This window comes from Homo sapiens, chromosome 4 (genome assembly GCF_000001405.40).
Source record: "Homo sapiens chromosome 4, GRCh38.p14 Primary Assembly".
Lineage (NCBI taxonomy): Eukaryota > Metazoa > Chordata > Mammalia > Primates > Hominidae > Homo > Homo sapiens.
The window spans coordinates 80,181,161-80,206,086 of NC_000004.12; the positions used below are offsets into that span (position 1 = coordinate 80,181,161).

The 24,926-nt window shown below is 47.0% G+C and overlaps 1 protein-coding gene and 1 long non-coding RNA gene across 4 annotated transcripts, besides 12 other annotated features; one reads left to right on the forward strand and one right to left on the reverse strand.

The window, feature by feature from the left end:
• Positions 104–16,184, reverse strand: PRDM8-AS1 (PRDM8 antisense RNA 1). Of its 2 annotated transcripts, none has more exons than NR_183912.1 (6): positions 15,968–16,184; positions 15,667–15,828; positions 11,046–11,152; positions 8,796–8,991; positions 8,589–8,699; positions 104–2,264 (listed from the first exon to the last, which is right to left on the reverse strand). It is a non-coding gene; the product is annotated as a PRDM8 antisense RNA 1 (long non-coding RNA). The 2 variants fall into 2 exon arrangements; NR_183911.1 differs by having other exon boundaries at positions 8,589–8,702.
• Positions 2,526–2,575: a silencer, noted in NCBI's record as "silent region_15517". NCBI's record gives its function as "represses an Ori minimal core promoter by ATAC-STARR-seq in GM12878 lymphoblastoid cells {active_cell/tissue: GM12878}" and the evidence as "EXISTENCE:reporter gene assay evidence [ECO:0000049][PMID:35858748]".
• Positions 2,726–2,905: a silencer, noted in NCBI's record as "silent region_15518". NCBI's record gives its function as "represses an Ori minimal core promoter by ATAC-STARR-seq in GM12878 lymphoblastoid cells {active_cell/tissue: GM12878}" and the evidence as "EXISTENCE:reporter gene assay evidence [ECO:0000049][PMID:35858748]".
• Positions 2,996–3,045: a silencer, noted in NCBI's record as "silent region_15519". NCBI's record gives its function as "represses an Ori minimal core promoter by ATAC-STARR-seq in GM12878 lymphoblastoid cells {active_cell/tissue: GM12878}" and the evidence as "EXISTENCE:reporter gene assay evidence [ECO:0000049][PMID:35858748]".
• Positions 3,056–3,235: a silencer, noted in NCBI's record as "silent region_15520". NCBI's record gives its function as "represses an Ori minimal core promoter by ATAC-STARR-seq in GM12878 lymphoblastoid cells {active_cell/tissue: GM12878}" and the evidence as "EXISTENCE:reporter gene assay evidence [ECO:0000049][PMID:35858748]".
• Positions 3,895–4,189: a silencer, noted in NCBI's record as "tiled region #11700; HepG2 Repressive DNase matched - State 21:Repr". NCBI's record gives its function as "represses a minimal TATA promoter and a strong SV40 promoter by Sharpr-MPRA in HepG2 cells {active_cell/tissue: HepG2}" and the evidence as "EXISTENCE:reporter gene assay evidence [ECO:0000049][PMID:27701403]".
• Positions 4,110–23,169, forward strand: PRDM8 (PR/SET domain 8). Of its 2 annotated transcripts, NM_020226.4 has the most exons (10): positions 4,110–4,358; positions 10,312–10,409; positions 12,953–13,079; positions 14,853–14,964; positions 15,192–15,441; positions 15,803–16,056; positions 16,465–16,603; positions 18,919–19,139; positions 20,130–20,361; positions 20,754–23,169. In NM_020226.4, exons 8-10 carry the CDS (start codon positions 18,921–18,923, stop codon positions 22,370–22,372), a joined length of 2,070 nt encoding a protein of 689 aa, NP_064611.3. In that variant the 5' UTR covers positions 4,110–4,358; positions 10,312–10,409; positions 12,953–13,079; positions 14,853–14,964; positions 15,192–15,441; positions 15,803–16,056; positions 16,465–16,603; positions 18,919–18,920; the 3' UTR covers positions 22,373–23,169. The 2 variants fall into 2 exon arrangements, with proteins under 2 accessions (NP_064611.3, NP_001092873.1); NM_001099403.2 differs by lacking the exons at positions 4,110–4,358; positions 10,312–10,409; positions 12,953–13,079; ... (1 more) ...; positions 15,192–15,441; positions 15,803–16,056 and having other exon boundaries at positions 16,343–16,603.
• Positions 8,697–9,213: an enhancer, noted in NCBI's record as "OCT4-NANOG-H3K4me1 hESC enhancer chr4:81111011-81111527 (GRCh37/hg19 assembly coordinates)". NCBI's record gives its function as "activates a minimal SCP1, AML or CMV promoter by ChIP-STARR-seq in primed H9 embryonic stem cells {active_cell/tissue: H9 hESC(primed)}" and the evidence as "EXISTENCE:reporter gene assay evidence [ECO:0000049][PMID:30033119]".
• Positions 9,214–9,729: an enhancer, noted in NCBI's record as "OCT4-NANOG-H3K4me1 hESC enhancer chr4:81111528-81112043 (GRCh37/hg19 assembly coordinates)". NCBI's record gives its function as "activates a minimal SCP1, AML or CMV promoter by ChIP-STARR-seq in naive H9 embryonic stem cells {active_cell/tissue: H9 hESC(naive)}" and the evidence as "EXISTENCE:reporter gene assay evidence [ECO:0000049][PMID:30033119]".
• Positions 14,953–15,570: an enhancer, noted in NCBI's record as "OCT4-NANOG-H3K4me1 hESC enhancer chr4:81117267-81117884 (GRCh37/hg19 assembly coordinates)". NCBI's record gives its function as "activates a minimal SCP1, AML or CMV promoter by ChIP-STARR-seq in naive H9 embryonic stem cells {active_cell/tissue: H9 hESC(naive)}" and the evidence as "EXISTENCE:reporter gene assay evidence [ECO:0000049][PMID:30033119]".
• Positions 15,571–16,186: an enhancer, noted in NCBI's record as "H3K4me1 hESC enhancer chr4:81117885-81118500 (GRCh37/hg19 assembly coordinates)". NCBI's record gives its function as "activates a minimal SCP1, AML or CMV promoter by ChIP-STARR-seq in naive H9 embryonic stem cells {active_cell/tissue: H9 hESC(naive)}" and the evidence as "EXISTENCE:reporter gene assay evidence [ECO:0000049][PMID:30033119]".
• Positions 19,664–20,863: an enhancer, noted in NCBI's record as "CDK7 strongly-dependent group 2 enhancer chr4:81121978-81123177 (GRCh37/hg19 assembly coordinates)". NCBI's record gives its function as "activates an origin of replication core promoter dependent on BRD2, BRD4, P300/CBP, MED14 and CDK7 cofactors, with strong dependence on CDK7, by STARR-seq in HCT116 cells {active_cell/tissue: HCT116}" and the evidence as "EXISTENCE:reporter gene assay evidence [ECO:0000049][PMID:35650434]".
• Positions 21,226–21,305: a silencer, noted in NCBI's record as "silent region_15521". NCBI's record gives its function as "represses an Ori minimal core promoter by ATAC-STARR-seq in GM12878 lymphoblastoid cells {active_cell/tissue: GM12878}" and the evidence as "EXISTENCE:reporter gene assay evidence [ECO:0000049][PMID:35858748]".
• Positions 21,766–21,865: a silencer, noted in NCBI's record as "silent region_15522". NCBI's record gives its function as "represses an Ori minimal core promoter by ATAC-STARR-seq in GM12878 lymphoblastoid cells {active_cell/tissue: GM12878}" and the evidence as "EXISTENCE:reporter gene assay evidence [ECO:0000049][PMID:35858748]".

Sequence of the window (24,926 nt, forward strand, 5' to 3'; positions counted from 1 at the left end):
ATCTAAATATAAGATAAATTTTACATTAGCTGTCTTCTGAACACATTAAGACCAAGCCCTTATTTTGAAATATTTGATAAAATTCACAAAGAAACTGCTAAACTCAAGAACAGTATCCCTTTAATCACAATAATGAAAACAGAAAACTTTTATTTAAAACAATGAAAAAACTTGATAAGCTATACTCTTGTTTGATGTTAACATTAACTCTTCTTTGATCTTCGGTTTCTTTGTCAGACACCTTTGATTGCAACCCAACAACCATCCCCAGTCCTTTATCGCTATCTTTTTATACTTTAAAGGCTAATTTTCCCAAACTCTTTTGCATGTATATGTGGCCAGGAGATCCAGGTCTGCCTAATGAAAGTGAAAGTATTCTTTTCATTGATTAAGCAAACAACCACAGCTTTTTGCCCCTGTTCCTTTCTTCATGTTTAAAACGATGGTTTGATGCTTGGAATTACAGCAGCTATATTGTGACCATGAGCCAACATACCCAAGGTTGCTAGATTTAGCAAATAAATATATGTAATGGCCAACTAAAGTTTCAGTTTTAGATAAAATATGAATAAATTTATAGTATATGTCCCAAATATTTTATAACATATACTAAAAAGAGTATAATTGTATAGATAATACACACAAATATATATTATATATATAAACTAAAGAGCTTAAGTTAGAGTCAACTTAAACACCAAGTTCCACAAACTTTCAAAGCCCTGAGTTTTGTTGTTGCTTTATTAAGTTGTGAATGGATAAAAAGAATGTAAAATATGTATATGGCATAAAGAAAAACTACGCTGAACACTTTGTTAATTGCCACCCAGCCTAAGAAAAAGAACAACCTCAAAGGCAACCTCTATCCTGGATTTTGTGTTTAATCTTCCTTTGCCATTTTAATAATTTCCTTGCTTTCCTTTGTTCATCTTTATCCCCTCTGAAAAGCTAATAATGGAAATAAGACCTTTGCCTTTTACGATGCACTGAAGATAGCCTGACAGTCTTCCTCCCCTTAGCCCCCAAATTACTAGTCTATGAGAATTATGCAAAATTTAAAACAGGAAGGTGCTCTTCATCTCGGTCCTCAGAAAAAAACATGACAAAGGTTGACCTTTACAGAGGTAGTTAGGTTGCTAGATAAAAAGAGATACAAGTGACAAACCAAAGAGAGGGGGAAATCCTACACTTAGGGGGTTGAGGTTTTGGTCTTTGTGTGTTTTTAGAGAAGCAACCTCAACTTTCAGGTTTCTGAAAGGGCTCCCCTGCTTTTCCTTCAGCTCAGCCCTAGGCAAGCAGACCCCCTGCCCAAGCCTCCCTCCTGAGATCCTGCATATGCTTTCTTGCTAAATGACTTTTAGCACCGTTATCTCCTCATGGGATACATCTGTTGGGTGCCTCGCATCCTCAGCTCCACTTTCATCTCTTCTATCTCAACACATTGTTTCCTCCACTCCTGATGCCAGGGTGGAAGGAAGCCATCCCGCCCGGCCGCGCTTGGGGATTGGCAGCCAATGAATGATTGGCAGCGGGCATCTCTGTCAGAGCTTTGGCATGCTGCAGAGTAGAAGCCCCGTGCTAATGAATGCCATCTACACCTACCAGATGTGCCACTGGGTGACATGCCAGATCTTTTACATAATGCCATTCTGCCGGACACAAGACAGCTGAGGGGTGGGGAGGTGTGTCTTTTAATGCTTTGGGATGGGAGTAGATCTGGCTTGCCCTCATTTTATTTCTTACTCAGACCACCCGCCACTGCCCATACACCCAATCAGCTCCCTTTACATTGGGCTAAGGCTCAGGGCATCTCGGAGACAGTGGCGAAGCAGCAGAGTTTGAGTTCCCAGGACATATCTCCTGTCCCCTGGCTCTCATCCATGCTCATCATTTCCTTGAGTTCGCTCCCTGCCCGCATCCAGATTCAGGAAAGGGAAATAGTTTTCAAAATTAAAGAAATAAAAGCACTAAATGGGATCTGAAATGAAAGGAAGGAAGGGGAAAAACTACACTTCCCATCCTCCCCCCTCCCCCATCCCTAATATTCTCTTCTTCCCTAGTCTAAACGTGCAAGGATGAGCTTCCTACACCCCATCCCTTTGGCAGCTTCTCCTGTTCTTTCCTCTTCCACCGTCCACAGGAAACTGGAGCGTGTTTATCCCCAAGGGTGATATCCCGTTAGTGCCTGTCCCACGTTCTGGCTGAAGTAGCTGTCTTAAGGTGGAGGCGTCCAGAAATCCGTGCCGTTTGGGGAGCAATGTTTCCTGGAGTGGGATGGACAAGGTGGGAAGAGAGGAAAATGAGCAAACCACTTCTGACGGACAGCGGGTGTGTGAGCGTGTAGGAGTGCTTGGGTTGTCCTCGCCCAGCTCTCCATCCCCGGAGGGAGAATGGCTGGAGGGGGGCTGGTGGTTGCCAGGAGGATCCCCTCTCTTTTGCTAAACCTGCGGGTACCGGGCTGCCCTGTAATCGGCGGGACTTGAGAACGGCAGGCCTCCGCTCCTCCTCCCCAGGGGCCATGACCCTCACACACCTCCCCACACCACCCCTCCCGCGACACACACGCAGTACTTGGGGCGACTGGGCGCCACTCCCACGCCAGAGCCCTGCCCCGCGCCCGCCTGGGGCCGAGCAGCCTGGCCCCTTCTCTTGTACCCCCACCCCCGCCCGCTGCCGAGGCTCCAGATGGCTTCTCCTTGCGCTCGGCTCGCGGCCCCCAGACGCCGCCCGGCAGCAGCCGGCGGTCGCTCCCTCCCTCCCAGCTGCTGCAGCAGAGACCGGGGCCATTTCGCGAGGCGGACGGGCTCCTCGGCAGGCTCCGATTGGGGTGGGAGAGCGGCCGCCGAGGGGCCCGCAGTAGCTGCGCTCCCGGGGAAGGAGCCCCACAGTCCCCAGGTAAGGAAGCCGCGGGGCAGGCGAAGGGCGGGGAAGGAGGAGCCTGAGCGTTCCGGTACCCAACCCTCTCTCTTTCTTGACCTTCCTCCCCTCTGCCCCTTCATCCTGGGCGCGGAGGGCGGAACAGTTTCTGGACCAGAGCACCCGCGAGAAGCAGGGAGCGGCCGCACAGCAGCCAGAAGAGGGCGCCAGCACCCCGGGGCCGGGGCTACAGGGCTGGCTCTGCCCCGGCGTCCCGCCCCCGCCCCGGGGAACGCTGCCTCTGCCGCAAAGATGCCCCCTTCCGCTGGAAAGCGGTAATGCCCACCGCCCACCGCGACCACCCCTTCCCCATTTTTCTCAGTTCTAACTGTACTCCTCTCTCGTTTCCTTTTTGCTTCTCTCTCTCTCTCCCCCCTCCCTCGTCCTCTCTTCCTCTCTCTTTCTCTCTGCGCTTGTTTTCTTACTTCCCCCTCCCTCCCCGCTTGCACCCCGGTACTTTTCCTTTTCTTTTCTGATCACTGGCGGGGGGAGGGTTTGTCGCCCGCCGGAAGGTAGTGTGGAGGGGATGGATGTGTTTCACGCTCAGGTTCTGGCTCTGGCTCCTCTCCATAGGTGCCTCCCTGGGTGCTCGCGAAAGCAGCCCTGAGAATGGCAGCTCTCAGAGGTTGAAGTCATTCTTTTCGGGGGACGGGGCACGGCGACTGTTTGATTGGGGGGTGAGTTATGCACTTGGGGCAGCGCTTCCCTGGAATGCAGAGCTGGGGATTTCCCTTGCTAGACGGATGCTTAAAGTTCAGTGGCTTTGTACTGAGCCCCTTTCTCCCCTCGAAAAGTCATGACAGTCAAAAGTATCTCTCTTTCTCTCTCCCCCGCCCCCCACTTCTCTCCAAAACCCTAAAGACAGCCTCCCCGGACAGTCTTCACCGTTTTTTTTCAGAAGCAGTTGCGCTGGGGGTGGGGAAAGGGAGGGAAGGGACATTGAAAGGCCGCAGTGGCTGGCAACTCCGCGCCCGTCCGATGTCCTCTCTAATCCCCCAGTGTTCTGGCGCGTACCCACAGTGCCCCCAGACCCTCCGCTCGCCCGTGCGCCGAGGTCGTTGGGTTTTAGACCCAGAGAGCACGTTCCGTAAGCTCCCGGCCCAAATCCCCTCGGAAAAATTAATCACAACCACCAGCGGATGCAAAATGTGTGCCTGTGTTGAGTCTGTCTTTTAATCCCGAACGTAATTCTAAAAAGCAGCATCAGACAAGAGCTTTATTAATCCCTTACACGAGCAAATGCGATCTCTGACCTACTAGACTTGTTTTCCTACAATTTCACAAAAAGCCTCGCTAGAGGAATGTGCAAGGACAGAAGGGAAACTGAGGAGACCCGCAACTCATTAGCGAAATAATAGGGTGCACTTCAATAAAAATGCGGTCCTGAAGTGGAGCAGACTCACCGGCAAGGAGCCCGGAAAATCGTCAGGGGCGGCGGCAAAGTGAGTGATGGGGATTGGAGGAAGGGGTAGGATTGGAGGAAGGGCCTCATGCACAGAGTGTGGTTGGGAGCTGGAGTGGGAACCCAGTTCGGTCTCTTCCGAAGGCTTAGGACCCATGTGACTGAATTTAGGGGCTGTCCCCTTGCGAGGGCACTAGGACAACAGGAGGGGCGCACCTGCAATACGGATGAGTTCAGAGTTTGATCCCTTGGGGCCTTTTTCTCGCACTTGAGATTTCACTATCATGTCGTTCAATTAATCATATTTCCCTTCTCCCATTTTATTCAAAACCGTCTTCCAGTTCCCTCATAATCGTAATTTGCGTCATTGCCTTTTATCGTTGATTAATTAGGAAGCCGAAAATGGTAATGGAGGGTCGGGCCAATAAATTAGCTTTAGGAACAGACGGACGGACGTCCGAGGCTGCTGCATGGGTGGGCGCTGTCCACCGAAGCTGGCGGGGGCCACCGTCGCTGCAGCTGGCTTCTCAGGAAGGCGTTAAGGAAAAGGCGCGCGGTACTGGCTGAATGGAGAGATCCACTCTGAAATAAACCCGGTGGCCACAAGGGAAAACTTCTCACTGCACTAGGTGGAGAGACTCCTGTGACGCTTAGCTTTTCCCGTTTGGTATAGAAAAGGAAAGACTGGGTTGTTATAGAAATGGAGAAGAGGAAGGATGGGGTAGGATAAGAGTCAGACTCCTGTTACTTTCAGAGGCCTCCCTACTAGCGGGTAAACAGGTTTAAAGTCTGGGCCTTATTAGGAGCCTTTTTTTTTCCAGAACTGGAATGTTAGATTTACTTTTGCAGCCTTTCCTTCCTCTTTCCACTTACCTACTGGTCTGAAAGAGGGAAGAAAGAAGGGAGGAAATAAGGGAGGAAGGAAGAGAAGGGAGAGAGAGAAGGCAGGGTGGAGAGAGAGAGAGAGAGAGAGAGAGATTGATTGTCAAGATCAGATCAGTTAACTCCCTGGCCAAAGAGGAAAGTTGCTAATGTGGAGTTGCTCCCTGCCCTCAAAGAAGCAGCAGCTCTGGGCGGGTAGGGTCTCCTCTTTTCTCCCTTCATGAAATCGATCACGCCTCCAGAGGGCTGAAGGAGAGCACTTTGCCACTCTTCACAGCTACACCCTGGCCTCTTTAGCTTTCAATTGAAAACCAATTAAAAGTTTCTATAAATCTGTTAGTGCCCCTTTTATCTGGGGACCCCTGATGCATGCGATATTGCCCTTTAGATGCCTCTTCCGTGTTTTGTTTTACAATTGTTGTATCAATATAATGCGGCCTTTCTTCTGCTGTCTCTATAGATACAGATACACAAGGAAAACCAAAGCTATTCAGGCTCCTCATTTGTCCAGCAGCCTAACAGTGGTGCCCTTTCTCTGTGCTGCTTTCCCTGCTTCGGGAGCAGCAGTTATGGTAGAAGCAGATGGCTACTGATTGGGGGAGCTTTGTGGCTCTAATACTGAATACTTTATGGAAAAGGACTTTATCATGCTTCGTTGGGCAGAGGAACAAGGGATGAGATTTATGGCCAGGAAAAATAAATCTTTTTCCAAGTTGTGGCTCCTTCTCACCAATGTCTCCTTTGCCCCCAGGGTAGAACACTGAGGAATTGGTTTTATTTTATTCTCCTTTTTGCTAACAGCACCTTTTAGTCAGGGTAGTGGACTAAGAGCCAGAAGTTTACGAAATACCCCAGGTTGTTGCTGTATCAGCATTCTCTGCCCTGGGGCGGGGGGAAGCAGAAGAATATCATCTTGAATGCTGTTTCAGGCCACGTTTTCTTGAATGTCCTCTTAGTTGATGGGTAAAATATTATTGTCCATTATTTTATTATCTATGAAGAACAGAAAAGAATGCTAAGAGCTCCCATTTGAAGTCAGAGGATGATACTGGTATTGAAGGAGAGGGGGAAATGATGGGGCATTTGGTAATGCAGGTATGCTTCTCTACTTTGAAAGGGTCTGAGCTATGGAGATAATTAGGGGATGTCTGTGAATTTAGGGTTTGGGGCTCCAAATTGAATTTCCAAGGTTTGGGGGATATACAGAGTCCAACCCTATACTGGAGGCCTAATTCACCCCAAGATAGTCCATATCATTTCTCTTTTCTTCTCTTCACCTGAGTTTTACTTGTAACTTCTCTTGAGTCAGGTTTGCTCCGCGTCTGTTGTTGGGTTATGCCCCTTCTCTATATGCAGGGGGATGCAACCTCCTGCTCCTCCTGTCCTCGGAGTCTGTTCTTCTAGAGTAATGTCACCCCCCTTCCTGAGATCTGTAACATAAAGTCACTCAGAAATGCTCCTATAGAGCCCCAAATGCCTACTGGCAACCTGGCACCAAGAGATGGCAGTCAATCCCAGCTCTGGGTCTCCATTCCCATTTCAGACAGACTCTTTGTCTCCCTGATTTTTGAAATGTCATTTTCTGTTCAAGAAACATTTGTTGAGTGTCTTCCATGTTCCAAGTCCCTTTTCTCTGCCTTTTCAATCCTTTTACCTTGTACCTAAACACTAAAGACAAAAGGCCAGGAGGACCCGCATTCAGCTTCCACAAGGGTCACCTAACTTTCTACCACAAGCTACTTCCTTCCAACTCTCCAGTCACTACCACCCCACACACTGACATGCATCTTTGCATCTTGTTTCTCTCCAAAGAGGAAAAAAATTGGGAGGAGAGAGCTGAGATTTTAAAAATTCTATTTACCCAGCATTCCAAAGCAGAAGACACTGAGCTGCTTTAAACTTTGGGCATTTCTTTTGTGCTAGGCTGAATGCTCTTCCAGCCTCATCACACTTAATTCTTATGCTGACCCTTTAAATATGATGTTATTGATGTTAAATATTATAATATCCCTATTTCACAGATCCCCCTGCTTCACAGGAAACAAAAGCATAGAGATACTAACTAACTCAAGCAAGTGGCCTAGCTGGGATCTGAACCCAGGCTTCATAACCACTCTATGAGATAGATGTTGTCTTTACTATTTTACAAATGAAGATACTAAATTTCAGAGAGGTTATGTAATTTGCTCAAACACACAGGTAGGAGATTACAGACCCCGGGTTCAGACCTGAGTGTTCAAAATCCCAAATATCAACCTCTTAACCACTGCCTCTTGGATCCTTCAGGAGGAAGAGCAACTGGGAACCCACAACTGACCGCTATTACCTGATCCCCAGTCCTAGCCTGGGCGGAAAGTTTCATATAACTTGAGACGGTGCGCGTGGGGAAAACGTAAAGCTCCCGTTCAGGGCTGCTCCTGCGCGGAAGCTGCGTGGGCTAGGAGAAGGAGGCTCCGCCGGGCATCGCGAGCCAGACAGGGAGCTCCGTCTGTCGTGCGGCCCACAGGGCTCCGCTCGAAGCCAGCGTGCGGGCGCTGGGACAAGGAGTGAGGGCAGCCACGGGGGGAACTCGCCCTGCACAAAGCTCCAGTGCCAGTGGTGTAGCTGCTGCCTCCGGGCATCAGTTACCTCGTCCTGCCAAGCTCCGGGACTTGGGTGTGTAGGGGAGGGCTGGAGCCATCCACCCGGTCCGCATCTGAGCCACAGCCCTTCACAGGAGTGGGAAGGTCACGCGCGCTCTAGGAGGCCCAGAGCCCTGGTCAGCGCTGGGAAGCCCGGTCCCCAGGTTTCTCTGCCCACCCCCAGACCTCGGCTTTTGGCCGCGGCGCTGGAGTTTACCATCAACGTGTTCACATGCTTCTCATCCTACGGAGTCGCCCGGATCAGCCTTTAACAGACTGACTTATCCGCGTTTCTAACGTGGCACCGCGACCCTGACCCTTGGCGCCTCTACCAGGCCTAAAGAAAGAACTTGCAAGCTGGGCATGGGAGGATGGAAGTCAAATATCAATCTACCGGGCAGGCCTTCCGCAGCAAACTGATTGCTCTTGCATTAAACCTGGGGTGGGGGTGGGAGGTGCGCGGTGCGGGCTGGGAAAGAGGGAAGGGATGACTGCCTTTCCTTCCATTTCTCCCTAGAAACTTCGGGAAATCCTCAGCCCTCGCTGGGTCACTTGGAAAGTGGGTTCACAATACAGTTCCCAGTTTTCTAATGAGGAAGCAAAGGCAGTGTTAGTAACAATAGGCAGCTCTGAAATGGGCATTTAGTATGTACCAAGCGTTGTTCTCTGCTTGCTAAGTATCACCTCAGCACTAACTTTATGAAAAGGGTCCCTTTAATGCTCTCAGTTCACAGATGAAAGACTGAAGTATAGACCAGTTAAATTACCTGAGTGGGGAGGGCTGGGATTCGAAGCCATGCAGTCCTGGTTCCCCTGTGGAATTGTGGGCTTTCCTGAGCCTGAATTGTTGGTCCTTCTTCTTGGGTCAGTTCTCCAGACTTCTAAGGAGAATGTTCATTAATGAAGGCATTGAGACCATCTCGTGTCCAAGACTGAAATGAAACTAGCCCTGGCTCTTGGAAGTGATCCCTTACCATCTGCTCAGCAACTGGCTTTCCAAAGCGCGTTCGCCCTCGTTCCCTTAGAGTCCTCACTGCGATCCGGGAGGCAGCTCTTGCCAGCTTTTGTTCAACCGGAGGAAAACCAAGGCTGAGCTAGGTCATCGGCAGCCCAGCTAGTAAGAAATGGGAACACAGGCTCCTGCCCTGCTAAACGAGATCAGGCGACCAGCTGGTCGAGGTCGTGCACAGAGGCAGGGAGAGAGGGTGGTGGAAAGAGTGTTAGGTTCCCGCAGGCCCCGCCCTTGGAACGCCTTTCCGCAGGTTAAGTGGTCACCTAGCGGGAAGCAAGTGATGGCACTAATTGCCGGTGGAAGGCTAAAGAACATGGGAAATGTGGCGGGCCCTTGGGAACTGCATTTCCTCCCTGCTTCGCCCAGGGCTCATTTGGAGCGTACCAAGCGCACCGCTTGGCCCCACACTGCCCCACATTCACGGTTTGCGCACTGTGCGTCTACAAGGGCGACGCCGGGCAGACGATGGCTTGTTTTGTTCTGCCCTGGTAGCCTCCTGTGTCAGGGCTCTGCACTCTTTGGTGAATCAGCTCAAACGATGTGATCTGTGTCTGCGCCTCCTGATACTGTGGGGGCGTTACTCTCCTTGGATCTCTCCCAGGGAAACCCGGTTTGCCAACATTGAAGTCCGTGATTTGGCCTTCTCTGCACTCTTAGTTCTGTCGCTGTACCTTTCACTAAGACATGGGCACCGGACAATCTAGACATCAGGAAGTGTCCGAGTCTAGCAGGCACTTCTGTGCCTTGTCTTGCTTCCCAAACTTAGGACTCAAACTCAGCTGTGTGGGGCCTTGAGGAGGAGCAGCTAATTCAGTCCCCCAGGTTAGAAATGAAACTCGTTGCATTCGGTGCATTGGCATTGGCTTTCTCGAGGATATTTTCACAAGTTTAGGGGAACCCCACTTATCTGGAACATAGATGTCTTAGGACTTCAGTAAACTGACTCTAGAATATAGATAATGCTGTGGGATAGTTGATCACACACACAAGATATTAGATAGTAACATTATACTCAGGAAATATATTCTTTATAGCTATTCAATTTGCTCCCTTGGGACCAATTGCTGTCCTGTATGACTTCACACAAACTATTTTCTCAAAACCACCCTACATGAAAACATCCAAAAAAGAGCACTGGCTACTTAATGGACAAGCATCCAAGTAAAATGACAGTCCTAAAACTTATTTTTAATTGCTGCCTTTGACAACATTCACCCCAACCTTCTTAAACACACACCCATACCCATATATGCATAGAGGACAATTTCTGCTCAGGTATAAAGTTATTCAGGCCTAAGTTAAATTCTAGGCCTAGCAAATCTCAACATCTAGGTCATTATATTCAACATGTTTATTCTTAGGAATGTATGAGTGTTTTATTTAGCAATTCCGGGTATTATTTCTTTGAAAAATATGAGTTTTCCTTTAAACTTCCTTAAAAGGAGATTATGAATAATACCACGGTTACTATATTACAGATACTATCAAATCAGCCTGGGAAGCATCTTTTCGCTCAGCAAGTTCAAGAGAACAAATATGTTACAATCCTTGCCTATTCTTGCCTCCACTTCATAATGTAAGTCCAGAAGTGTTTATAGTAATAATGATGTTGCTGCATTTGTGACATGTTGATCTTTGAATTTTTTTAAGGAGACCACCTTTCCAAGTATTAGCAGTGAGGAAAGACTTACATTGGTAGCTTTCAAGTGTTTTTGAAAATCTTCTGAAAACTAACACCTCTTCATATAATGTTTTGGGAGACATCCCCCATTGATGCTAAATTAATACCCCTGGATTAAATCATAGAACACCTGGGATTAATTGAACTGAAATCATGAAAGATAGTTTTCACTCAGAGTTCAGTTGGCAATATGAGCAAGGGAGCAGTTTGGGAGCATAATTTGTGAAGAAATTGAACCATATTTCCAATACTCTTTAATACAAGGTAAATCACCACTATTGTGGTTCCTAACTGGTATCCGCTTCTCAAATACTCTTTGTCTCTCTCTTTCTTCCTTTCTTTTTACTTTCTTTCTCTCGCTTCTCTTTTCCTGGAGAAAATGAAATGTCTCTCTCTTCAGGCCTCAGGAAAGTGTACCATGGGTTTATTCCAAGTACTGGACATTTGTGTCCCCTGCCTAGACCTCTTTCCCAGAAGAGCCATGCTTTCTGCTGCTTTTTCCCCAGCAGCCCGAATTCTTACAGTCCATACCTCAGAAAGCTAACTGGGATTAGATGTCAAGGAGTGTAGTCTGCCCAGGATATATATGCTGTGTGTCTATCGTTGCCTCTTTATTTAACTCAGGAATTACAATCCACCTAAAACAGAGAAGAAAAGGGTGGCACACAGGTACTGAATTGGGATGATGTCCATTCTCCTGGCTGTGTGAAGAAATTTGATGTAAAGCCTCTCAATGTTGTCACATTCCCAAGGCCTAGAGTTAGACTTCTCAAAATTTCATTTGAGACTGCTGGACACCAATTTGAGACTGCTAGACATCCCCTGATCTGCAGTCTGCCTAAAAATCCTGACCCAGAGGGTAAGGAGGTTCAGAGTGACTGATGGAGAACTGGCTACAACCAGTCAACCCCCTTCACACTGAGATGCGTTCAAAGGGTGTGGTGTCTGAGTCTAGGAAGGACTTTGGAACCTACAGATTTGACAAAAATCCAAGCCTTTTCTTGCCAGATCTTTACACACTCATCTGGGGAAGAGTATAACATTTGGGAGAACCCAGGGGGTTGAAATAGTGGATATTGGATTTGGTTCAGAGGTCACACTCACACAGATGAGTATGGGGCACTGATTTCATATCTGTTGGTAGTTGTGCACAATGTCACTTCGGTTTGCTAGCCCTTCTAAAAGTCATACTCAGAGGCCATTAAGCCAGTTCACTACAACCCAGATCCAGGAGAGGAAGATAATAACATACAGCTTTCAAAGACTATCCCATTCTCAGCTGAACTCCAACACAAGTGTAAGTAAAACTTGGGAATGGCTAAGAGAGAAAGTTTTAAACTTGAGAAAGGTAGATTATCATTGTAATGATAATGGTGGTAGTAGTAGCTGCAGGAGCAGCAGGATTAAAAGCAGGATCATTTACGAGGAAAAGCCCAAGAGAGAAAAGTATGAGTCAGAAGTAATGATCCCTACAGTTGGGAGCCTGAAGTCCTTCCTCACAGGCTACAAAATTACCCAACCCTGAGTCTCTGGCTTTCCCAGGGCCAGCCTGGAAAACATTTGCTCATGTAATACCCAGTGAGCCAACTACAATACTTAGGGTGAGGAACAGACCTAAACTGAGTTTGCAATGTATACTTATAAAAAACGAGTAGCCCTTCCCACACCCCACCCCCTCACATCATCCTTTACCCAACTCAGCAAGCATGGCTCTTCTCGACTCACCAAAATGTAAAACAAACAAACAAACCCCTCTGGGTCTTTTTAAAAACCCACCATGTATCTTTCTCTTGATAAAGGCAAAGTGGTAGAAAATGAGTTAACAACCCTCTGAACAACATTTTTGGCACAGGCCTGGTGTTTTTCTTAATTGACCAGCCCATCATTTCTGTTTCTCTTTCATGTACAAGTAGTCAGTAAAGTTTATCCCTTAAAAAGTTCCTTATTCTGAATGGTGAGGCTAGGTAATACAATACTCCTCCTTGAAGATCTATTCTCTTCCTCCCTCAACCCTCACAGCCCCTTCCAGAGACCTCCCTGTGGGAAATTAATAAGCTTAGGAAGGAGCTGCCACTGTCTGCTCCATTGGCATCCTCTTATCTTCCAGTGTGTGGGTTTTTTCCCCCCCTTTCACCATGAATTGCCATACTCTTTTGACAATCAAGCCTTTGCTGGCATAGTGCTTTGGCAATAGAGTTAGAGGTGGGTAAGCCAGGACCTAGAAAGATATAGAAAAAGAAAATCAGTGTGTTTTCATTCTCATGGGATAATAATCTTTACGTGAATTATTCTTGGAGATGTTACCTGCCTCTTATCACAGAAGTTGAAATATTTTGGGCTCCATTTTTGAACCCTGGGAAGAGAAAGAGTGTTCCCATTCTAATACTCCCTAAGAATTAAAATTCCCTTTCTTACCCTTTCTCCACCCTCTCACTTAGGTCATAAAAGCCACCTGGGGTGTCATTTATCAACCTCTCTCCAGCCCACTCTTCCAAAATAACACTACAGTTTCCTACATGTGTATTTTTGCCAGGACTCCAAAGAGCCTTGCTAAAGTGGAACAAGGTGAGCATACCCACTCTTCATTGTCATTCTTCTAATTACTTAATTGGAAATAAAATCCTAGGGAAGAGAGCTCCAAATATATGCATAAACCCATTGTTCCATATGAATTACATAAAACTATTGACTAGGTACACTTTTATAGTACTGTCTGAGGCTGAATAAATGCCTCAACCCTTCATTTAGTATCAGTGAATTCCAGTAAGTATTAATGCAGAGTGATTTCAAAGTAGTTTATGTACCATTTTAGCCCATAAATTTCTACAGAAATAAAAATAATTTGTAGATTTTCTTTATCCCCTATTAATTATTGTCATTTAGGACATTTATATTACCAAGCAAAATGTGTACCACTTAAATTACTAGAAAACTCTTCAAGTAAGAATTTCGACTTAATCTTACTTATATTGTTTTGTTATGTCAGTTATTTAACTCATAATAAAAAGGGTAGGTCAGATTCATAAAATGTGAGAAATTCTTATATTTAAGGATCTCTACCTGAAAGCAGTAGGAAAAAAATTAATTAGAGGGCAAAAAAGTGAAACTGAAATGAAGCATCTGTTGGCCAGATTCTCAATAAATTGCTCCCTTCTCAGATGTATAAAATTGTCGCTGTTTTCTAGCTTAAGACATAAAAAGGTCAAGCTGTTCCACCCTCAACTTAAGTACCAAAAACATTATTTTATACAAACTGGAGTCAAGGTTTTAGTACCTCAAAAGAAATATAGTTTAAATGGTCTCTGTATTTAATAAGAGAAAGGCCAGGCACAAGAAAAATGCCTTCCATTTAGAGTTTATTTTCTAAATGTCCACATTCTGGAGTAGAGGCTTACATATTTACAATATGTAAGATAATTTTTTAATGGTTTGCATGGACAGATGACTTTTCCTGAAAGATAAAATTCCAATTCTCTAAATAACAGCAAAAGAAAGCATTAAGGAGTGTTCTGTTAGACAGATTAATGAAATTATGTTCTTAAACACTGCTCCTCACACACCATATTGCATTTATCAGTCTAGTTTCTAAGGGACCACATGACTCTCTTATGGCTACTTTTCTTTCTTAACTTGAAGTTGTTTACACCCGTGCCTCTTCTGCTCTTTATTTTTCTTCTTTCTTCTACTCTGAATTAACTTAAGTTTCTGGCCACTATTCTTCAAACCTGAGGTTTATTTTCCAGATGTTTGAGACATTATTTTCACATTTCTAATGCTTCCACCCATTCTTTAAAGAAGTATTAGGGGACCATGTGTCCATACTTTGTGTGTGTGTGTGTGTGTGTGTTTGTGTGTGTGTAGAGAGAGAGAGAGACTGAGAAGTGAATCTAGTATTCAATGGAGCAATCAGTCAGAAGACAATTGGTAGCTCAGTATAGCTGCAGATTCTTACATACAGGCATGTGAGAGAGCCCTCATTGCACTGAGCCTTGGTCATTAGGAGCCAACCTTAGCCGAAGTAGATAAAATTGCACATAGCCAAAGTACATAAAACTGCACTTCAAGAAGCTTTCTTTGAAAAGTCAGTAGCTAACCTGAAAACTAAGGGATTCCCCATTTTCTCTGAATATATGGGGATTTTGCAGCCCTTCCTTCTGTGAATTTCAGCTTAATTCTAGGCAGCAATTCGGAATTTGCCTGGGGTACTAACCAGAAAAGAGAAGGAAATACACACACACACACACACACACACACAGAGAGAGAGAGAGAGAGAGAGAGAGAGAGAACAAGGAAGAACATGAACTTCATGGGAAAGTCCTTGCACTTGTTTCTCCTCAGCAAAATCCTCCCCTGGCCTCCTGGGACTGCAGTCACCAGGCTGTCAAAGCCTCAATACCCCACTGAGTTCCAGAGAAGGGTCTCAAAGCTGGGAGAGGATCAAACTAACATGGTAAGCTGCTCTTTGCCAACTCCCCAAATACATTATTTCAACACTAGGAAAAACAACAACGAGGCTGTCTCCTTACGTTGTGGTTCTGCCTCCTCCACTTTAGCTAGCTACACAATCCGATTTATCCTAATGCTGACAGATTGCCCACTTCAAAGTAGTGGTGGTGTGTGTGGGGCTGAAGGAGTTGAGAAACTGTCTATACCACTCAAAGGCCTTTCTTCCTTTAGGAGTAGAGAATTGAACTGTGAAAAAGAAGCCCGAGATTCCCCAGCGACGTGGTGTTGCAGCCCCGTTGAAGGAGTCAACTTGCAGGCTGTTAAAGACCTCAAGTCATTAGCATCAGCTGCTGCACTAAAGGGGCAAGTCAGCGCCTCTAAGTGGCTTAGCGCACAAACGAGGCTCCCGAGACGGCCTCGGCAACTCCATCCCCTCCTCCACCACCCGCTGGATGTGAAAAGCTTTCCGGAGCCCATCTTGGTAATCATTTTTATTTTTAATCACCCTTGCCCCCCAACCCCAAGACCTCAGAGTGCCAACAGTACCCATTATAGACTCCCTCTGGGGCTGCGCAGAACGCACCAAGCAGAGGGGGGGAAAAACCCCACGAAAACAAAAACAAACAAAAAAAAAACAGGAACTGTTTGAGTCCAGTAACCTGCGCTCTTCCCACCAACCTCCCACACCCCACCTCCGCCCACGTACCCGTGTCCTGGGACTAGGAGGTACCGTTATGTCCCCTTCCGAGGTCTGGTGACATTCTCACTCCAACCTCATCTCCCAAGCCACGGGAAGGCTGAGCCAAGTTCTCACCAAAGCGCATCCTTTCTGAATTTTGCAGGGGGAAGCTTGGTAGTGTTGGCGCTCCTGAAGAGAGACGACGCCCGTTTATCACCCCCAGGCAACTAGCTGCGCAAATCAGCGGTGGCTCCAGGGCTAGAGAATCCCTGGAGCTAACCGCACCCCTCTCCCTTTCACGGAACGCGGACTCCGGGGAAATACGCACGGGGTCCGCACGCGCTGGGTGTCCAGCTCTCTGTCACAGCTTCTCCAAGTGCCTAGTGAAACGGGGAAAGGCCCTCTCCAATCATTTTGGTACCTTCCTTTCCAATCCTGAAACGATTTTCCCCTCCTAGCAGTCCCAGAGGGCCCGAGCTTTAGGAGGAGGCGGGCCGGGACGCTCTCTGAGAGGCGTTGCCACCCGGGGTAGGCGCTCAGGATCTGCGGGGCGCGGGCAGGCCGGGGGAAAAAGCTGCGAGGCAGGCGGCGCCGGAGGGAGCGCCTGGCCCAGCAAAGAGTTAAAGGGAGGGGACGTGGGCTGTCACGCGTCATTGGGCAGATTATGTGCAGCAAACAAAAAGTGTGTGTCTGCGTGCCAGTCAGTCACTGCATCGGGTCCATCTGTACAACTCTCTCCGTTTCTCCGTCTCTCTCCCTCCCTCCCTCCCTCCACCCCCCCAATCTTTTTCTCCCCATCTCTCCATCTCTCTCTTATCTCTTCAGGAAGAGCCTAAAAGGCGGCAACACCAACACCTCTTGACATGGAAATACACTGATACAATAGGCAAAAGGAAACACTCGATTGCATCTTCCCGGTTCCAGGTGGCCTTATTTGGGAGATTCTATACTGACCTTATTCCTGGTAAGTCTATTTGCATTGATGTGGGAGGGGGATGGGAGGAAGACAGTTTGGTGGAAAGAGTAGAACATTTTGTCTTCCGTCTCCTTATTATCCAGAAGAGAGAGAAAAATAATTCTTGAGGGGCTGTCTACTGCCAGTAATATTGTACAAAAGGAGGAGCGGGTGGTGAGCACTTTGCCGGAGAAGCCGGAGACTGGGGAGCGCGCGGCCGCCAGACAATGCCTGCCTAGAGGGACGGGCCAGTGGCGGGCAGCAGCGACCGGCTTTCAGAAAGCCCCGCCGGCTCTGGGGTATATTCCCAGGGCAGGCGGATAAGAACCTGGGCCTAGAGCGGGGCACGGAGCTGTGAAACGTTGCGTGGCAAAGGCGACCGCACGCGGGCGGGCGCTCCTAGGCTCTTGCCCAGCGGTTATTGTGATGGGCTTGAGGCTCGTGGCGCCTGGCGCTGCGACTCCGACCGCTATTAGCGCGGCGTAGTGAGGACCTTTTTGCCGTATTGTTAGGTAGAACTGCATTTTAATGACTGTGTCCCTGCTGTTGCCCGAAGTGACGGGGCGACCTCCCGGCACAATGAAATGCTTGTGTGAAAGAGATTTTTAAAAGGAAGAGAGAAATTGGGGAATAAAACGCTGAATTGAAGGAAATTGAAAAGAGGAGAATAGGATTCCGTTGAAAAGGAGATAAGAGGTTATGGGGTTTTTAAAATGTATTTTAATTTGAAATGAAAAAATCAGGATGTCTACCTTGTATGGGGTAAAAATGACCAGGGATAGATGATGCAGAATAAAAAAGTTTCTACTTTATGGATATTTTCCCTTATTTCTGCTGTCTGGGAGATACAGCCCAACACTTGACATTTGGGGGATGCAAGAGGATGAATGGAAAATGAGGCTAACCAAAGTTTTAGGCTATGTTAGCTGGAATGGGGGGAAAAAAGCACACCTTGTAATCACACGTGTAAGGTTAACTGGTTAATATAAATTAAAATAAAAATAGATGTCACTGACATTATTCCATAATGAACAGCTTTGCAGGAAAAGAATTAGATCTACTCTTTCCTGCTACTTTAATTATATAAAACATACATAAATAATTGCCAACAGTGACATTATTAGGGAACAACAAACTTGGAGGAATATTTTGATTAGTCTGAAATACTAAGCAATGCAGCTAGTTCAAAGCTAGTTTAAAAATTTAAATACCTGGGTTTTTTTGGGTTTTTTTTTTTTTGTTTTTTTTTTTTTTTTTTTTTTTTAGTGATAAGTCTTGTATGGGGTGTCCAGAGGAAGGAAAATGTCCCTTTATGACACCTTAATAAAGGGCATTGGGGCATTACTTTCTAAATTGCTGCGGATTAAACAGCTGGGGAGCCCACTGAGGAGTGCTCAAGCAGGGCTGCCCCCTCTTGCCCAAAAAGGGTCATATGGGGTAGGGGGAGTGAAAATTTACCAGTCATTACACACAGTATTTCAGACTGGGGACACTTTAGGCCTGTCCTGTACCTGCTCACTTCATGAGCCACATGTGACTCAATCCACCCCCTTGTATAACAAGGTAACCGGGATTCACTCTCATCCATAAATAAGCACGTCCAGAAAAAAAAATTACCTCTGCTTGCTGCTTTTAATTAAAGCCTCAGAGGAACAGTGTTGGATTATGGTAATGAGCAGACATACGTCCCTTCTTGTAGGCTGCAGAGAAAGGTTAGCTGACACAGAATTAGTGGCCCTGACATTCCACTTGAAATCCATTCGCCATGCTCCGCTGTCTCCGCCTGCTCACTAACGCTGTTCCCCTCCTTGGAAGAAAAGAAAAAAATCAGCTCCCGGGCACCCAGTTCAATACATAGGCAGACAGGCACTTTCCCCCAAGGGTTAGAAGTTTCTTTCAGTAAGGGAAGTCTATAGGCTGGTTTAAAAAATTATATATATGTATATATATATATATGTGTGTGTGTGTGTGTGTGTGTGTGTGTACATATATATATAATTCTGCCTGGAACTTCACCTCTAAAACCTACCCAATCCAACATCAAGGTAATGCAAAAATTATCTAGTCTTTCCTAGCCCTTTCTTTTCTTTCTCCCAAGCAGTCAGCTCCAGATCTCCCACTATTCTAATTATTTTAACAAGTATCCCTTAGTTTTCATCTTTAAAATATGCCATGTTTATCTGCTTTAATTTTGAAATAAGAGCTATGCAAAAATCAGGCATGTGCAAGGAAAATCTACCTAGTATTTGGACAGTTCTGCTTGGGTTAATGGCGTTAAAAGCAGTAACATAACTCACTTTCTTGTGCTGTGTGTCTATCTCCAGTGATGGAGGATACTGGCATCCAGCGAGGCATCTGGGATGGAGATGCCAAGGCTGTCCAACAATGTCTGACAGATATTTTTACCAGCGTTTACACCACCTGCGACATCCCTGAGAATGCTATATTTGGTCCCTGTGTCCTGAGCCATACTTCCCTATATGACAGCATAGCTTTCATAGCTCTCAAGTCTACTGACAAGAGAACAGTACCGTATATCTTTCGGGTAAGTCTCCACTGTAGCTGTGTAGGTGTATGAGGGTAATGTCCTGTTGGAAATGGACTAAAAATAATTATAATGACAAGTGGAGATAGGTTTTGCCTGTGGAAAAATGCAATAATGCAAGCAATCCCATTTCACACATCAAAAATTAGAAAAGGAAAATTAAACTCAAATTATTGTCAACTGATTTTTTGGAATAAATGACAAAATTTGATTTGGAATGTTAGAAATATCTAAATCAGTGCTTCAGTTCTGGATTATCCTGGTGATGAACACGACTTCCTAAACTCTGGGAGATTTCACTGGGGTGGAGGCTATTTGCATACTAACTAGTTTCTGCAAGTTCTTTGACAAGTATTGGGTACATCTGCCTTCCATTTGAGGAGGCTTCTTCATCCCCTAAAGATTAGTTTCTTTGGTAATATTAGCTAGTGCCCAGAGTTTGTATTTAAATAAAAATGTTTATGGTTTTGACAGTAAAGCATCATCAAATCCATATGTCTGAATTGGAAGATTCAGACCTCTCATTTCCTATTCTTCTTTACAAAGAAAATCTATTAATTGTTCTAGCCAAGATTAGGAACATGATTGCCATAGCATAATTTCTAAGATCTAAGCTTGCTTTATTTCTGAAACAAACAAAATTCTCCATACCTTTGTAATGTGGAATAACTTAGAAGTAAACTCTCAAGGGGTTAACACTAAATTATAAGAAGAAATTTCCTCATTTAGTATTCAACCAATATATAAAAACGGTGACTTAAATAAACTATATGATTGATGCAGTGTTTCAAAGAATGGTTATCTTGCCTAATGGTTACAAACATGAGGACAGGTCCCAGCTTGGGCCAAACTTTTGGAAGCGTGGTCTCAGACAATTTTTGGAAAAGACTAACATAGAAGAAATGGTCTTGATTCTTCTGATTTCATTCCCTCATGAGGGTCCCTCTCCCCCTCTCCTTCTTGTCTTCTTTCATTTATTTCAAACCGCAGGTAGACACCTCAGCAGCAAATGGTTCCTCAGAAGGTCTCATGTGGCTGCGGTTGGTCCAATCGGCCAGAGATAAGGAAGAGCAGAACCTTGAAGCCTACATAAAAAACGGACAGCTGTTCTACCGCTCTCTCCGCAGGATTGCCAAAGACGAGGAGTTACTAGTTTGGTACGGGAAAGAACTGACTGAGTTACTCTTGCTCTGCCCCTCTAGATCCCACAACAAAATGAATGGTAGGTTGGCTCGCGACCGGCGTGTGGGCCCTTAACTAGCGGGGGAGAGACGCAGGGAGCGGCAGGGGCTCACCCGGCGCGTTGGCGCGCCTTTCTTCCCTTCGGGTGTCTCATAGGAAGATTCTGAGATGTAGTCTGGAATGAAGTTAAACAGATAGGTGAGGATAAAGCGAGGAAACTTGCTTGTTTGCTGTATTCCCTCCAAATCAGGAGGGAAAGTTAGATCAGGTTGGTCATTCTTTTCTCAGGCACTCAGGCCCTGAGAAATGAAGGTGGATTTGTCAAGGGGATGGTGGCAAACTGGCTTGGGGGCGATGCTGAGTAATCATGTGGTGTGCGTGTGTGTGTGTGTGTGCGTGCGTGCGTGTGTGTGGTGTTTGCTCACTAAGCAGGGTCGTCCCCTTACACATGCCTGGAATGCAGCCAACGTTTCCAGTTTGAGTTCCCCTATGTGGCGCATCTGCGTTTCCGCTGCCCCAAGAGACTTCACAGCGCTGATATAAGTCCCCAAGACGAACAAGGCGGCGGCGTGGGCACCAAGGACCACGGGGGCGGCGGCGGCGGTGGCAAAGACCAGCAGCAGCAGCAGCAGGAGGCACCTTTAGGCCCGGGTCCCAAGTTTTGCAAAGCCGGCCCCCTCCACCACTACCCATCCCCCTCCCCGGAAAGCAGCAACCCATCCGCTGCCGCCGGCGGCAGCAGCGCGAAGCCATCCACAGACTTCCACAACCTGGCCAGGGAGCTGGAAAACTCCCGGGGAGGCAGCAGCTGCTCCCCAGCCCAGAGCCTCAGCAGCGGTAGCGGCAGCGGCGGCGGCGGCGGCCACCAGGAGGCGGAGCTGAGTCCCGACGGCATCGCCACGGGCGGCGGCAAAGGAAAGAGGAAATTCCCGGAGGAGGCGGCGGAGGGCGGCGGTGGCGCTGGTCTGGTAGGGGGCCGGGGCCGCTTCGTAGAGCGGCCCCTCCCGGCCTCCAAGGAGGATCTGGTGTGCACACCGCAGCAGTACCGAGCCTCGGGCAGCTACTTCGGCCTGGAAGAGAACGGCCGCCTCTTCGCGCCGCCAAGTCCCGAGACGGGCGAGGCGAAGCGCAGCGCCTTCGTGGAGGTGAAGAAGGCTGCCCGCGCGGCCAGCCTGCAGGAGGAGGGGACAGCCGACGGCGCGGGAGTCGCCTCCGAGGACCAGGACGCTGGCGGCGGCGGCGGCTCCTCCACGCCCGCGGCCGCGTCACCGGTGGGCGCCGAGAAGCTGCTGGCCCCGCGGCCTGGGGGCCCGCTGCCCAGCCGGCTCGAGGGCGGCAGTCCTGCGAGGGGCAGCGCCTTCACTTCGGTGCCGCAGCTGGGCAGCGCGGGCAGCACCAGCGGTGGGGGCGGAACGGGCGCCGGGGCCGCAGGCGGCGCGGGCGGGGGCCAGGGCGCCGCGTCGGACGAGCGCAAAAGCGCCTTCTCGCAGCCAGCACGCTCTTTCTCGCAGCTGTCCCCGCTGGTGCTGGGCCAGAAGCTGGGCGCGCTCGAGCCATGCCACCCCGCCGACGGCGTGGGCCCCACCAGACTCTATCCCGCCGCCGCGGACCCTCTAGCGGTGAAGCTCCAGGGGGCCGCGGACCTGAACGGAGGTTGCGGGTCCCTGCCGAGCGGCGGCGGCGGCCTGCCTAAGCAGAGCCCCTTCCTGTACGCCACCGCCTTCTGGCCCAAGAGCTCCGCTGCCGCTGCAGCCGCGGCTGCGGCGGCGGCCGCGGGGCCCTTGCAGCTGCAGCTGCCCTCGGCGCTCACGCTGCTGCCGCCCTCCTTCACCTCGCTGTGTCTGCCCGCGCAGAACTGGTGCGCCAAGTGCAATGCCTCCTTCCGCATGACCTCCGACCTGGTGTACCATATGAGGTCGCACCACAAAAAGGAGTATGCGATGGAGCCCTTGGTGAAGCGGCGGCGAGAGGAGAAACTCAAGTGCCCCATCTGCAATGAGTCCTTCAGGGAGCGCCACCACCTCTCCAGGCACATGACCTCGCATAATTGACTCGGAAAGGACCCCAGCTTTCCACGCGCGCGCAAGCACAGTTAAGCCACCTGCAGGAATAAACACGCGAGAACATCCACCGCTTCCTTGCACCCCGAAACCCTGCACAAAGACACATACATTCACCGCCCCCCCGCCCCCCCAACGCGCACACACACGTCCTCTCCTCCCAGGAACCTCATTCAAATATTTACCCGGGACACACACCCCCCCCCACACACACACACAGACACACTCACACACAAGAGCCAGGATGGTGGAGTTTTGATTGGGTGGGTTGTTTGAGGGGGTTTTCTTTTGAATGCACGCATTTTCACTTTCCCCAAAACAAAGGTACATTTTTTAAAATGTCATATATTGCAACATATTGATGCATTTGTCATACGTTTCTACTTAAATTATTAAGCACTTACGATTTAGATGTAATAATTATATGTAAGGGCAAAATTTATTTTAGATATAAAGTAAAGGAGGAGGGTGAGATGCTTTCTGCATTTCTTGATGACAGTTTGTGTTCCTACAAAAATAAACAAAATGAATAAAAAGGGATCACCATTCAATTTGAGTTTCCAGGGGGAAGTGCATGTATAATGAAATGATAATGGACTTCAATGAAGAATGTCATCAATTATGTACATATGTATTTTCTTTTAATACAAAGTGTAATTTTGTGCCAGTGAAATGGAGTCTGAATAGTTATGTGTTTCTTTTATCCCTGGAAATATTTATTAAACTTTATAGTTTATCCGAGTATGTTGGATGCTTTGACAATAAATGACTATTTTCTTCAAAGCAAATATTTGGAAAGTTTTTAAATTTTATCGTTGTAGTTAAGGACTATACTTTGAGTAAATGTCACTTATTTTCACTGAGTTCCTGAAAAGAAGGGAAGAAACAGCATAAGAGAGAATGATAAACCTGGCACCATTTGCATTTATGTACTCTAAGCCAATTTTGAGCCTAAAAGAAGATAAGTTTTTATTATCACTTCGAAAATATTTAGCTGGAAAGTGTTGTGCATCTTGATCAAAGACAAATCATTTAGACAAAGATGCCTGCCATGCAGCTAACCTGTCACTGGGACACCAGCATTCTTTTCAGCAGCAGGATAATTAGCATCTTCACAAATGGTCTGAGACAAACAATGTTCAGGCTGGGATCTGTGAGACCAGATGAAAAGCCCACTTTAGGTTCTACTAGTGATGGCTAAATAGAAGGGTATCTTGTACTCTAATGTCATTACAATGGCATTCTGTCATAAGCTATTTAGAGATCCTGTGGGGAGTTTCCCTAAAAACCAAGGTGGAATGACCGTGGTTTGATCATGGTCTATGTATTGCAAGGCCCATCTTTCCTTCTAAAGGCATGGACAACTGTATAGCCTCTGCAAAAAACGCGTCCTGAAACATTACAATGCAGAAAAACCTGACGATTGCCCTCCTCTTTCTACTCTTCCCTTTATGAAAAGTACTTCTGTACTCTTTACATACTGATAACTAATTAAATATTGAGTGTAGAAAGTCTAGGTGTATGTGATACGACCAGTAACCATTAGACATAAAACCAAATGAACGATAATTCTTTAGGCCTTAGGATAGCATGCACTTAATCCACAGGCATCTTCATAGTCACTCTGGAAACAGGCACTGCACTGGTTTAGCTATCACAGGAGTTGTCTCATTTTTTTTCTCCTTTCTTCACATCCTGAAGACTCTCCCCTGTATATGAAGGTGGAAGCTTGTGAAAAGGTCTGACATGGGAAGTGTATACAAGGTCTCATTACAGGCTTTGCAATGGTTTTCCCTAACAGGATATTAAAGCCTTCATTATTTTAGGACCTCTACAAAGCAAGTTATGATTAGGGCAGGGAGCAGGTTAAGAGTAGGTATAGAGCAAAATGATGTACCTATTGGGAATGTGACCTAGATTGCTAAAAAAGCAGGTGTGGTTCTTTAAGATCATCCAAATATATATATATATATATTTGCTACATTTCTTTGAGGCCTGCTCTCAGTTTTCCTAGGCAACATTTGGATGATCTGAAACACTAAACCCCAGCAAACTGTCTAAAATTCTAATTCTACCTCTGCTATTCACAACTAGCGTGACACTGCATCTTTGTTGACATAATTTGAATTACTTGCAGCTTGGTTTTCTCATCTGTAAAATAAGCAAAGCAGGTTCTACTATTTTTTAAAGTACTTCTAGCACTGGGAAATATTTTTTTTTTCCCTGATGAGTTAATCAGGCTCCAATTGAACACAAAGAGGTCTTTCTAGAGAAAGGTCAAGATTATGAAGGAAATTTGACGTGAGGAAGCAAATTGAAGTCAAATTTGGAGGCAAATTGCATCCACAGATCCTTAAATCACAATGTCTGATAGGCCGACTAAATTGTCCATGTCTGGGACACTAGATCTCTGGAGCAAAAATCTCTCAAAAACAAACAAACAAACAAGCAAACAAACACAGCTTATCCTAGGCCTTTCAAAAAAAAATCTTGAATGCCCTTTTCCTTTCTATCTGATCCTTCTGGAATCTCCTTTTCAGGAAAG